General features: G+C 40.1%; 1 protein-coding gene across 21 annotated transcripts in view; it reads right to left on the bottom strand.

The window, feature by feature from the left end:
* The window catches only part of KDM4C (lysine demethylase 4C), a 454,786-nt gene that overhangs the window by 87,129 nt on the left and 353,307 nt on the right, over nucleotides 1–14,350 (bottom strand). For 3 of the 21 annotated variants that reach the window (NM_001146696.2, NM_001146695.4, NM_001353998.3), the window contains one exon: nucleotides 11,257–12,086. The exons of the other annotated variants lie outside the window; for them this stretch is intronic. In NM_001146696.2, coding sequence (NP_001140168.1) covers nucleotides 12,069–12,086 — 18 coding nt within the window. In that variant the 3' untranslated portion in view covers nucleotides 11,257–12,068. Of the gene's footprint in view, nucleotides 1–11,256; nucleotides 12,087–14,350 lie in introns of those variants that run through there. 21 annotated transcript variants of the gene reach the window in all.

Raw genomic sequence — 14,350 nt, 5'->3', positions numbered from 1 at the left:
GGACTACTTCTGAATTTTAACAGACTCAAATTTTAGAAGTCAAATAGTTTTGAAATCAATGTTTTTGAGTGATCCTAAGCAGATTGTGGGTCAATACTAGTATAGAAAAATGTAATAAAGAACTGTAATTTCTTAAAGGAGAGTTTAAAAATGCCACATTTTAGGATAAGACAACAAGAGCTGGATTAAAGAGAGAATGTGATGCTCCCTTAAATGTGAATGAACAAAACAGCATTTCTCCTAGGTCCCATTCCAGGGTTCATATCAACGAGTACTTTTGGCCCCATGGCTCCTGCCCACTTTAAGGGTCCTTCCGAGGCAGACAAAGCAGGGCCTCCAGGCCTGGAGGAAGAAGCAAGTGGATACGGGGGAGCCAAACACTGCTCTCAGGATTGGTTGCACCAAAATCACGAGGAATCAGAGAATCCTGCTAAAGACACTGTCCATCTCTGCCCCGCCACCAGAAGTTCTGATTCATAGATCTAAGTGGGAGCCCAGAAATCTGTATTTTTGATAAGTAGTACCTCAAAGCAATTCTAGTGCAAAGCCACATTTAAAAATCACTGTAAGATTACAAATCGGCGTTCTCCATAAACTGGATGTAGATAGAATTTTGAAAAACTACGTGCCCTCTCACACAATTTTAAGTGGACACAAAATTTCTCATCATAAGTTTAAATAATTGTAGAAGCTATACTTCTTGTGGATTAAATATTGACATTTAGAAATAAAACATGTATCTCTAAATACCATTGTCATTTGATAACTCCATCATCCATTTAACAAATAAAAGAACAGGCTCTTCTTTCACGTTTTGTAGCATTCCTTATTCCCTTTAAATTTATATTACTCCTATTCCACTTTCCCTCCAGAATTTTAACTGAATGTAAGATAATTTTATGCCTGAAACTCTTTTAGTTATCACTGTACCATAATCCTCTTTAACAAAAATATGCATATTAATTGAAGTTTAATTTTTTTAAAAAATTTCCTATGACAAGACTCTAAGTTTTAAAAAACCTCTAGTTTGGCTATTATACTTATTTTCAGTTTATAACTGATCAAAGCTACACATGTACTATAACATTGGTAATTATTAAAGAAAAAAGTATATTTTTATTGGAAATGTATCTCAGATAGATGAAGCCTTTAAAAATTATTTTATGAATGTATGTTACAGACTGCTGGAGTTAAGGCATGTTTCTGTGTCATTTTAATTATATTTTTCTTTTTTCAAAAAAAAAAGCCTTCATATTAAAAACTAAATGGGATTTGAGGGGTTTTGTTGCAGTAATGTCTCTTTCTGAGTTATATGCGAACTCTTTCTGAGTTATATGCCTAAACGCACGCTGGTCAGAACCCATCACTGTGTATCAGCTGACATCATTTGGGTACTCCTTTAATTCTGTCAAAAGTGAAAAAAAAAAAAAGAGCCACGTAAGTTGCAATAAAAAGTCTTGTTGTCCACCTACTTGATTCATTCCCTTTTCCAGCTTTATGAGAGCCAGTATTTTGCATCTGGCATGCCAGAGGTCTTCAACCACAGGGCAGAGTACAACGGTGAGCTCAGAGACGCATGGAGGATCACAGATAGATGGCAGAAAGACCAACTGTCTGCCCCACTCTGTGAAGGAGAGGGGACAGGAGACCCTGCAGACTGCAGGCTGGCTCTCAGGCAGATCAACTTTAGAAAAAAGTATGTTTGAGAGTTGGGATATAGAAAAGAACTGTCCTTGTAACTGTCTTTATAAAGGGTACATGGGTGTGTGTATGTATCAGCTGGAAGACCCCGGCCAGATGATCCTGCATGCATAGTCCATGATCTCAGGAATCTGCTGGTAACCCCGTAGCAGTTATCTGAGGAGAAAATCAAAGGCCAGAGAACACACTCAAGGCAATCCAGACAGGATCAAAGGCTGAACAGGGTGGTGCCCAGCACAGCACTTACCTAAGGGCAGTGTGGTAGGAGGAGCAGATGGACTGGAACTGAGAATGAGGGTGGGCGTCTCTCTTAGAGCAAGCCTATTCCAATGTGGACTCACCCATTTCTCACAAGCCTCACCTTTCTAAAAAAGATCCCATTGAGAAACACAGCATAAAGTGTGGATGATTACTTGCCTCTGTGACAGACGGCATATTTACTCAACAGAGTAATAACTATTCCGATGCTGGTGTTGCGGCAATCACTGTATATGAGAGGGGACACACAAAAATGCTGTTTGGCCTAACTCAGAAATTCATAATTAGGGCCAGTGGAGTTATAAAATACAGAAATATCTACCAATTTTAGATGATATTAAAAAATTCCTGTTTGCTCTAGGATCAAATATGCTGGAAAAGAATAACTGTTTTTGTTTTTTTTGAGACGGGGTCTGGCTCTGTCGCTCAGGCTGGAGTGCAGTGGCATGATCTCGGCTCACTGCAACCTCCGCCTCCTGGGTTCAAGCAATTCTCCTGCCTCAGCCTCCCGAGTAGCTGGGACTACAGGCGCATGCCACTATGCCTGGCTAATGTTTTTGCATTTTTAGTAGACACGGGATTTTGCCATGTTGGCCAGGCTGGTCTCGAACTCCTGACTTCAGGCGATCCACCTGCCTCGGCCTCCCAAAGTGCTGGGATTACAGGCATGAGCCACCGCACCTGGCCCAATAATTTTTTTTTTAATGAAAAATAAAAAAGAAAGAAAAAGGGAAAAAATATCTAAGTTCCTCTGAGACTGCATGCTCCATTCACTTCAGGAGGGGTTAACGCATAGGCCCAGTGGGGAGCTCCGTTTTCTATAAATGCTCAGATTATCCCACCACGCAGTCTGAGAAGATAAACATAACAACAGAAAAAATAAATTAAAATATAAAAAAACCCTCTCGCTCCTATGAGCAGGGAAGGAGTGGCAGGAACCATAAACCTAAACACCAGCCTTCCTCTCACAGGTTTCAATATGATGCCATCCTCAAGCAAAATTAAATGTCATCCTAGACCAGAGCTGTTCCAGGGTCAGCCATCATGACCCCGTATTTTACAGTGTAAAAGTCAGGTTAACCAACAGACCTGAAAAAAGCCTGTTTTTCTCCCTCTTTGTTGTTCCTCATAGTTCTCTCTAAACAATTAGATTTTATTAGAAACAACTTTTGGCACAGCACACTGGCTCTTTGAAACAAGGAAAAAGAAAAAGCAAGAAAAATCTTAGAATGGGAATTCTGCAACTGAAAAAAAATCATTTGTTTTAGAGATGAAGAAACTGAGGTCCGAAGAAGTGTTTACTCACTGCCACACAACAATGGCCCTGAGCCAAATATGCCCCTTCAAAGCCCAGTGTGCTCCTCCTCTGCCACAGGGCTCCAATGCCCCTTCCTGGTTTCATTCTGCCTTGCCACTCTGGCCATCTCTCAGTACTCTGCTGTGCTGAGTGCCTTTCCACCTCAGGGTCCTCGAATACACCCTTCCTTTACCTGGGTAACTGTTTTCCCAACCTTACCTTCATCTTGGCCACACCTACTGATCTTTTAGTTCTTAAATGTCATTCCTTCAGAGCCATCCACTCTTGACCCTCCAAATTAGGCCAGGCCCCCTGATGGGCACTCTCATGGCACAACACTTCTTCATAACTAATCATTTGTTTAACGTATCTCTCTTCATAGATCTATGAGGCCCAAGAACACTTGAACCCATATGTTCTTGTTCATCTTTATAAGGAACTGCTCAGGAACTGGAACATGGTAAGTGCCCATTCAATATTTGTAGATAAACTTAATGAAAATAATCAACTACATGTCAGATATTGCTTTGAGGGTATTACATGTTCCATTCATTGAGGTAAGCAATAGTATTATTACTGTGTTACAGATGAAGAAACTGAGCCACAGAGCAGTTCAAAAACTACACTAAGATCATGCAGCTCCTAAATGGACGGATTGTTTAAAATATATACAATGTAGCACTGGGAATCATTGATGATAGCAGCCTTATGAATAGTCATGCAGACCTACACAAAGCCATAATCAATGCTTTGAAAGTTATTAAGGAGAAGGCCTATTAACATAATGGACCCTATTCTAGGGCACTATGTGGGCATTTTCTAAAAGCACTTCATAATAGACTATCTATCATTCATGTTCCAGTAACAATCATCTCTAACACCACAGTGGCTAACAAAACGTTTGTCTTGCTCATGTTGAATCTTGGTTGTGGCTCTGCTCCAGGTCTTGCTTAAGCTAGGACCCAGGCTGAGAGAGCAGCCCCTATATGAACTATGCCATTCTCACAAATGGGAAAACAAAGAGAGATGGTGGCACCATGTAGTGGCTCCGAAAGCTTCAGCTGAGTAGTGGCACAGGTCGTCAACACCTGTGTTAAGTTAGAAGCCCAGAGCTCATGATCTTTTCTTCCTAAGCTCCCCAGCACAGTTAGAAGCAAGAAACTAACGCCATTAAATTCCTTATTTTCACTAAAATGTTCTAAGACAGCAAACACTAGGTTACCCAGAGCCTTGACTGCCCTCAGCATTTGATTACAAGGATCCAAAGATGATAATTTGAGTAACTCTGCCCTGCACACTATAATTCTCCATAGCTTTTTTGTCCTCTCTCTATATAATGTTTTTACTCATAGGATCTTTGCCCAAATGAAAAATCCCCGTTGAGGAATTCAAATCAAATTCTCACAGAGTTACAGTGGACACAACCTCTTCTATCTTACCTTTGAAAGAAGTGATGATAGGGAAGGAACATAATCTATCCAACAATTTTACTGTTTAAACAATGCAATCACCTTGACACACACACACACACACACACACACACACACACACATCAGTCATGTGCTACATGGGACGTTTCAGTCAATGACAAATGGCATATCCCATGGTGGTCCCATAAGATTGTAATACCTAATTTTGGCTATATCTTTTCTATGTTTAGATATACAAGTACTTAGCATTGTGTTATAACTGCCTACCATACTCAGTACAATAGCATGCTGTAGCAGCCCCATGAAGGCTAGGAGCAATAGGCTATACCATATAGCCTAGATGTGTAGTAGTCTATGCCATCAAGGTTTGCATAGGCACACTCTATGTTTGCACACAGACAAAACTGCGTAATGATGCACTTCTCAGAATGCATCCCCATTGTTAAGCAATGCACACTGAATATATCTAATCCAAAAGTTCAAAGTCCAAAATGTTCCAAAGTTTGAAATTTTTGAATGCCAACAAAACACTCAACAGAAATGCCCATTGGAGTATTTCAGATCTTAGATTTACAGATTAGGAACAATCAACCAGTAAGTATATAATGCAAGTATTACAAAATCCAAAATCTGAAACACTTCTGGTAACAAGAATTTTGGATAAGAGATACTCAACCTCAATGTGTATATGGGTCTATGTGTGTGACTTGAAATACTGACTCAGAATGGGGAGGAAATGTTCCTGAACTGTTGAGTATATCCAGGCTTATGAACACAGAGAACTCTACTTATTCGATAAATAATTTAAAAAATGCAAGCACTTCATAAAAATAGATAATAGAGAAACTGCAGGTCCATCCCTGCTGGAGGCTGAACTATAAACAATGGCTATTAATATCAATAGTAAACAAAGAAAAAGTCCTTAATGTTTGGTACTATATTTTATCATTTCTCCTAAATCTGACAATTTTTTTTTGCATACAACTTGATTATTAATTCTACTGAACAAAAGGCATAAGTCCCTTTTGTCAGCTCTGTGTTTTGCTACTGCAAATGCTTGACAAAATTGTCTGCTTCATTGTTTATTCCCTGTAGATCTTCCTGCCTTCAAGGAAGCAGCTCTAAAGCAGTGTGGGATTTGGAGCCACGCGTGACAACACAGTAGGCTTGAGATGAAGTGTCAAGTCAGCAGACAAATGCCAGCTGAGGGAACAAAGCAAGACTCTCACAGGAAAAGGACTGCCCGCAGCCCCATGAAGGCACCCTGAGACTCACGGATGGGAAGCAATCAGAGCTCTGTATCTGCATAAGGCTACTGAAAAAGCCATATCCCTTCCACCATCAGCCCTGGTGAGGACCCAAACTGAAAGGCTCTGGAAAATCCAGTGATGGTTTGTGGCATCATTCTTAACGGGGTGCCTTCACCCCTAGTGCCTTACCTTGGTCACAGTATTATGCCTGCTTGGGCTCTCTGTGTAACTCCCGCTGAATCCCACTTGCTAAAGATTCTGAAACGAAACTCAGGTGGAACACACATTATTCCTAATGGGCCTTCTGGTCTGAGTCTCTCTGTACCATTCTGGTGGGCTAAGGTGGAAAGAAACCTTCTAATGCCCATTCCAGGAGGATTCATTCATAATTTAAGCCTTTCCTGAGTATAAACTCAGGCCCCATGTGAGGCTGTAGTGACACAAACAAGTCAGAGTCTTTGTCCTGGAGGCACGGCAGAATCTCTAGAGAAGGTGGTTTCAGAAGCATTTATTTGATGCCTTTGTTCTCAGGGCCACCATGATGCTTTTCACAGGGGCAAAGGCCAGGCTAAGTGGAAAACACCTGATATCTAGATATCGACCACCAAAACACCTTTCTAAAAAGTCCATTAGCCGGCAACTAGCTCTCTGGGTTCCTGCTCTGATTCAATTTCTAAAGGAGCAAGCACAAGAGATATATAATGTTCATCCTGTCCCTTGAATTTCGGAGGTAATACATGCCTTTCCGTACCAGCACCTGGTCTATCTTCTACCATTAGCCCCTCTGAACTCATCTCCAAGGCTTTAGACACATGCTTTGCAAATAGTGGAAATCCCAAGGATTCATCAACACGAACATTTCCTCATGCAGCGTAATTATCGTACTTCCAGATTTCCCCATTATCCCTGTAGGCTCTGGGCTCGTGAGGTGTTTAATGTTTTTCCAAAGAAATGCCAGGTGTGATTCTGGCATTTATGATTGCCAACATCTTCAAAGTGGAATGCCAGGAACACACTACTGGAGACATTTTCAGTCAATGGGGCAGCACTACCTGTGAGATCAGATGATTTTCACTCATTCACCTGCAGGACAACAGCACAGGCTTCCCTCTGCTGTTCCTCACACACGGTGAGTTTGGTATGCTGGATGGGGCACTGGTAGGAATACTTCCCTAAAGTTATTTAAAGCTCTGTGCACGCCAGCCTTGCCAAATCATAAAATTAGGAAATTGCATTCAGTCAGACTAAGTTCTTCCCTTAGCGCTTTAGGCACCTAGTTATTCTTCAATTTCTTTCCCACAAACACTTGGCCCAGGTCCTGAAGTCCACCCCATATCTACGTGTCTACGTGGCACATAAAAGAGATTCAGGGAAGAAGATGGAACAATAAAACTTCAGGTTTACTGACAACATTAAGTGAAGTAATCCCCCTCCACATACTTTTCTTACAGGAAGATCAGTTACTCAGCCTTCCCATTCACCTGCCTGATGTGAATCTACAAATATTTTAAGAGGGTAATTTGTAAAAAGACTTACAATAGCAGAAGTTGTTCAAGCTGTAGCATTAGTCTCTGTCGTGTGCCTTAGGTTTGCCCACACATTTAGCTCATTTACACAAGTGAATCACTAAGGGCCTGTTTATTAATCAGGTCAACCAAGACTTATTTAAACTACTAGCTAACAGCCCTCTTTTATAAACTAGTGGTCAGTGAACGTTTTTGCTTACAATTCCCCAGAAGAATTCTGGAAGACTATAACGCGCCTTGAATGTTAAAGTTGAGATTTATGGGGTTGTACTGTTTTTAACTTTAAGGTGAAATAGATGCAAAAGGACATTATTTCCCAGCATAGAATTCCAGAATATAATTATATGTGCGCTTAAATTATATTTTTTGTCAAATTTTGAGACAGCAGATTCCAATTTATGTAAAATGTCTGCCCCAAATATAAAACCCAATAGACAAAGGCAGTCCTCATTATCAAAGCAATCTGCCAAAACAGACTTGTTTTTTATCTGAAAAAGTCTGAATTCCTTTTGCAATTCAAATAAATTGTATTAATACACATTCCCATATCAAGCATTTCACTTCTGAATTCTAAGAGAAACAATCAACAGTGAGTAAAAGACAGTCCCAACTATACAATGGCCTTAACACAACAGAACCTCACTTCTTGCTCAGATAACAGTACTGGGCTGGCAAATAGTTCAGTGGGGTAGCTCTCCTCCACAGCCATTTAGGGGCCTAGGCTGACAAAGTGCTGTGATCTCAACATTTGGGCTCTAGGGTCTCTTTGCAGGTCAACTCCATTTCAGAAAACAGTAAGGAGGAGAATACATGGGGGTTATTTAGGAGCCAAACCTGAGAGTAATATATTTCACTTCTGCTCCAATACCTGTGGCTGTGCTCCTACCAGTAAGGGAGGCTGGGTTATGTGGACTAGTTGTGGACCAAGAAGACACCATGGGTTTGAGGGAATGCCTAGTGGATAAGGTACATAAATTCTGCAATAAATCCATGGCCTAGATGAAGTGCCATTTTTTTTTTTCAGTATTTATTACCTAATCTATCTCTACTTTGCTCTTTTGAGACTTGCCCTCAAAGCCTGTACCTTTATCTGTTTACCTGGGAGTGATGCATTTATTCTGTAAAGCAAAAGAAGTTGTGGGAAAGGAGAACCAGCAGCCCCTTCCAAGGTTCACTCTCATGCAGATCAAGCTTGGGAAAGAGTACATGTTAAAAGTTGAGGGCCAGAAAATTAATTCTCTAAGAGATATCAGTGCATTGTACTTCTAGGAAAGTCTTCATTTAACCCTGGAATACACGGATCCCAGTTTAGGAATCTCTATTATATAAAGTATTACAAAACACATAGAATCACAGAATTCGACTATGCAGAGTGTAAGTGCCATTTATAGAGGTGAAAAGTGAGGTAAAGGGTAGTTTGTTCAAAGTCACTCTCAGGCTGGGTGCCGTGGCTCACGCCTCTAATCCCAGCACTTTGGGAGGCTTAGATGGGCAGATCACTTGAGGTCAGGAGTTCAAGACCAGCCTGGCCAACATGGCGAAACACTGTCTCCACTAAAAATAAAATATTAGCTGGGAGTGGTGGCATGCACCTGTAGTACTAGCTACTTGGGAGGTTGAGGCAGGAGAATCGCTTGAACCAGGAGGCAGGGGTTGTAGTGAGCCAAGATCGTACTACTACATTCCAGCCTGGGCAACACAGCGAGACTCCATCTCAAAACAAACAAACAAAAAACAAAGTCACTCTTGTAGAGATTAATGTATATAATGGGGCTATTCTTTACTTCAACAAACTCATTTTGGCCTTTGGCACTAAAGAATATTTCTGGCTTTTTATTACATGTTGAATAGAAGAGTTAATACAACAGGCCTGAAACTGTTATGCCTTGAAAGTTCTGCTTCCAAGGTTGGCCCCTGGCAGACATACAGGAACTTGAATTTCAGGAAGCTTGCCACCATTCATTGATAAGAATGGCTCACTGTACCAAAAATGTACTAACAATATGGTTTATGCTGAATCTGTAAACCTGCTTTTCTTCTGGGAGTCTGAAATTTTGGTACATGCTAGGCAGAGGGTGCCTATGTGATCAGCCCTCAATAAAAACCTGGGCACTGATGTATAAGCAAACTTTGCTTTGTATCCTTTCACTGCAATAAATCTTAGCTGTGAGTACAACTACATGTTACATCCTGTGAATTCTCCCAGTCAATCATCCAATCATGGGGTTGCTCATGGACACCTCCAGTGTACATGTAAGTTACATCCAACAGATAAGTATAGATTGATTTCAAGATATTTAAGAACATTGTAAATATAGATATTTCAGCATATTTGTATTTAAGTTATTGTTTTGGCTATGGGACCTCTAGAAAAGGATGAAGGTAATTTATACTCAAGCTAATTAAACTATGGACCTTTAAAATGCAAGACAATAATGGAAAACATGTAAAATACAGACCTTGGGCTTGGCTAGCAAGTAAAACAAGGATTCTCTGAAAATTACTACTAAAGATATCAGAAGAGAACCTTCCATGTTGAAGAGAACCATTAAGGAGAACATGAATATGGAATTGTGAACATTAATAAGAAAAATGTGTCCAGCATTTTAAAGAAAGAAAAAGAAAAGAAAACCCAGAGGCTCTGTGTTGAAGACAAAAAAAAAAAGGAAACCTAGGAACAATTTCTCTGCTAAAAGCTGTGTCCATGTCCTTCCTACTGGGGTCACTAGGCAAAGTTATATAAAAAACTATGGTGTTTAAATAACATTTTATCTGATTTAATATTTTACTTTTTTCCCATTGATTTTACAAGCTATAAAAAAGTTCCTACAGAAAAGCTGCAAATTACACCACAGCATGTATAAATTATTTTTTTAAAAAGCACCCAATATCCTGTCATCCAGAGACAACGACAATATGGCATATTCCTTGAGTCTTCTCCCAATGCATTAAAAAATAAATAAATAAATGGGAACATTCTGGATATAATTTGTCTTTAATTTTTTTCTCATCAAAACTTGATTTTTAAAGAAATATTAGAAACATTAATTAAACAGACATGTTGATCAACTTTCCTTTAATTGTGCTGGAGATCCTCACATGTGGAACCTGGAGGTCTTTGATCCCAGAGCCTAAATATCTGCTGGCCAAAACACCTGAGAAACCCAAGGTAAGAGGGTGACCATGTGTTTCCTGCCATGGCTCAGACATGCCATTATTTGACAAATATACAGAAATTAGATAGACATCTTTCTCTGTAGACTGACTGGTCTGCAAGTTGAAAATGTGGTGCATGCACTGTGTTGCCTTGATGGGCTGACTTACATTGTGAAGTCCAGGCAATGATGATGAGACTCAGGATTGATGAGGCAGCTTAAAGGTGTTCCTGGGAGTCATAGACCTCCCACTTCTCTTGACTCCACCATATTCCAGAGGCAGTACAGCCAGCAAAATGGTTGAGCAGTTCTGTCACTTAGTGGCTGTATGAGCTCAAATTATTGAACTCTTCTTAGCCCCAGTTTTACAAAATATAAAATGGGAATAAAGATATCAATATGAAAGAGTTGTTGGAAGATTACTAGACAATGTCTGGCCTAGTGCAGAGCTGCCAAAATGAAAAAGAATATTCAACACAAAAACATTAGTATAGCTTACAGATAAATGCTAAATAGCATGCTATTCTATTTCATATTTACTTTTTTTTCAGCCGTAGTTGAGGGGAGGGGCATAGGATGACAACTATATGTCCAAAGCAATGTAAATACGCAAATCAAATTACAAGCACTAATCCAAGATCCATGCAAATGGCATCTTTAATTCACCATATTGTAGGTGTTGCATCTTGAATGCCAATGACCTCTCTTCCCACAGCATGTGTGATAACATGAGCTTCAGCAACAGGTCCGTTCTCAACATCTGTCAGCCCAGTGTCCACATCTGTTTCGATAGCATATATCACCCAGATAGAACTTTGATGAATGAGTGATAGTTTTCACCTAAACTCAAAATACGTTCAGTTGCTTTGTTGTGCAGCAAGAAGGAAGGATTCAGGCTGACAGACATAGAGTGGATTCTCTTAGATTCAAGCCTCTGGGCCTGTGATGTGCTGTAGAAAAATGGTGTAACTTCTGAGACTCCTATTATAATGCCTCCATGCTACAGGAGACAACCTCAGGATGCATCCAAATCATTAACCTGATGCACCTTGGAAAGCTTTTGATTCCAATGACAATTTTTGAGGCTGTAGTAGGACACGTTGGACTAAATCACAAAGGGAAAGGGAAACTCTAGGATACAGAAAGTACATTAATCAAAGGAAGTCATTTTACCCCACATAGGAAGTCAACAAATGAAATTTAAAAAAATTAAACACAAAGGTGTGAGGATCCAGAGGAAAATGACAGATACAAAAGGGAAAGTCCAGGGTCTGACTCAATCAGGAGCTCAGGCTATTGTATCCCCATCCTAAACACGATGCTGGCTGCTCCCATGGAGAATGAGAAACAGCATCTGAAACAGTGGCGGAGGGGATGTAACTTTCCTAATGAATTGATGTTTTCACAGTGAGCCTTCATTGTTATTGTTGTTGTTGTTACTGTTGCTGTGTCTAGATTCCCAGCCTTCCCTGAAAAACACAATGCAAATTTTAAAAGTCCAATATGCCAGATTTTAATAAATTATAGTGAAAATAGCATGGGCTTTAGCATGAGACAAACTAATTTAATCCCAGCTCAGACACTTCCCATATGTATTCCTTGAATAAACTGTTTACCATTTATGTTTCCTTAAAAATCATCTAAGTTTCCAGTAAAAATGGTTTGAAATTATGCTTAGCATAAAGTATCGCAAGAGGAAGATTTTGGGTTTTTTTTTCTTCTGTTGTTCTTGCTGTTGGTTTATTACAGTAGGATGGCCAGAACTGGGCCTGGCAAAGAAGAGACTGAAATACCAAATATATACAGTAGTGTGGAGGATCACAAAGATAACACATGTGATGGCACCAGGTACAGCACTCAGTGCAAGGCTCACATGCCATAAATGTTCGTTCTATCCCATAAGCTGTGTTGCTGTTCTTTTCTATGACTGAGGAAAAGGGAGGGTTGACCTACTTTGAGAATAAACTAACAAATTATCACACCCAAGATTTAAATTTTCACCCAAATAAAAATCCTCAGAATGGATCACACCACTGCACTCCAGCCTGGGTGACAGGAGTGAAACTCTGTCTCAAAAAAAGAAAAAAAAAAAATCCTCAGAATGATTAAAGAGTATGCCCAGGAGATGGAGTCTCCCTCTTTTCTTCACCAGCTTGTCCTTCCTGATAAGCAGTGTTGCTGTAACAGAATACCTGAGATTGGGTAGTTTATAAAGAAAAGAGGTTTATTTGGCTCAAGATTTTGCTGGCTGGAAGGTTCAAGATTGGGCATCTGCATGTGGTGAGGACCTCAGGCTGCTTCAACTCACTGTGGAAAGCAGAAGTGGGGTGGGAGTGCAAAGAGATCACATGGTGAAAGAGGGTATGAGAGAGAAACCGAGGAAGCCAGACTCTTTTTTACAACAAACTCTCTCAGGAGCTAACTTATTCCGTCAGTGAGGACTTAACCCATACAGAAGGGCATTCATCCATTCATGAGGGAAGCACCCCAGAGACTCAAAAACCTCCACTAGGTCGCACCCCCCAACACTGCCACACTGGGATCGAGTTTCAACATGAATTTTGGCAGAGACAAAACACATGTGATGAAACCATAGAAGATGAAACAGGACAGTTGAACTTCAAAACACAAAACCAAAAACAAACCATTAACCGAGCATAGACAGAATGGATTACCAGTCATTTTACTACATGTAAAGAGGTATTATGCGCTGGGATCCGTTCTGGGGGATGCTGAACAAAACACCTGACTGCAGAATTGTCTGACTGACTGCATATCATGCCCACCATCACAGCTGGGATGCTTTCTGCTGGGGTCCAGTTGGGGAGAAAGTTGTTTCATATCCCTACTTTTGTTCAAGAAAGAGGAGACTCTGTTTATTGCTCTTCATATACAAATTAATGAGTTCATCATTCTCAAGGATGAAAATCATCCATTCGCTGGGTATGGCAGGAGATCTTGTCAGACATCCTGAGACCTTTGTAAACTCCTAAATTCATGATGTATTCAAATAGAATACATACCTTTTCATGTAAAATGTGCATTCAGATATACAGAAATAAAAACGTATCAGCATGTCCATGCTGGATGGGTAGGTAGGCTCACTCATTATCTTAGTGATACCCTATACAGCAGCCAAAAAGGCTCAGCAAAACAACTAATTCAATGATCTAGTCCTTTAGGGTTAATAGCAAGTAATGAAAACTGCAAATAGTATATAGGTAAATTGCTAAATCTGAATTTAATAAGATGCCTGGAATATTGCAAAAATATATGCATTCCTTTATAATATAAAGACAGTCACGTGGACTTGATCAAAACTTACTTATAAGCTGAAAAATAACGTGGTCAAACATCATTTATACGTGACTTTCTAAACAAAAGTTTTCATTCTGATTGAGATTCAAGAATAGATTATATAAAAATTGCTCAGCAATGCTGGGCACAGTGGCTCATACCCGTAATCCCAGGACTTTGGCAGACCAAGGTGGGTGGATCATTTGAGGTCAGGAGTTCGAGATCACCCTGGCCAACATGGTGAAACCTCATTTCTACTAAAATATACAAAAAAATTAGCCATGCAAGTTGGCACATGCCTGTAATCCTAGCTACCTGGGAAGCTGAGGCAGGAGAATTGTTTGAACCCAAGAGACAGCGGTTGCAGTGAGCTGAGATCGCGCCACTGCACTCCAGCCTGGGTGACAGAGCGAAACTCCAACTCAGAAAGAAAAAA

Source organism: Homo sapiens, chromosome 9 (genome assembly GCF_000001405.40).
Source record: "Homo sapiens chromosome 9, GRCh38.p14 Primary Assembly".
In the NCBI taxonomy this organism is placed as follows: Eukaryota; Metazoa; Chordata; class Mammalia; order Primates; family Hominidae; genus Homo; species Homo sapiens.
Note: the sequence above shows the minus strand (reverse complement) of the source record. Positions and strands in the feature narration are given on the sequence as shown.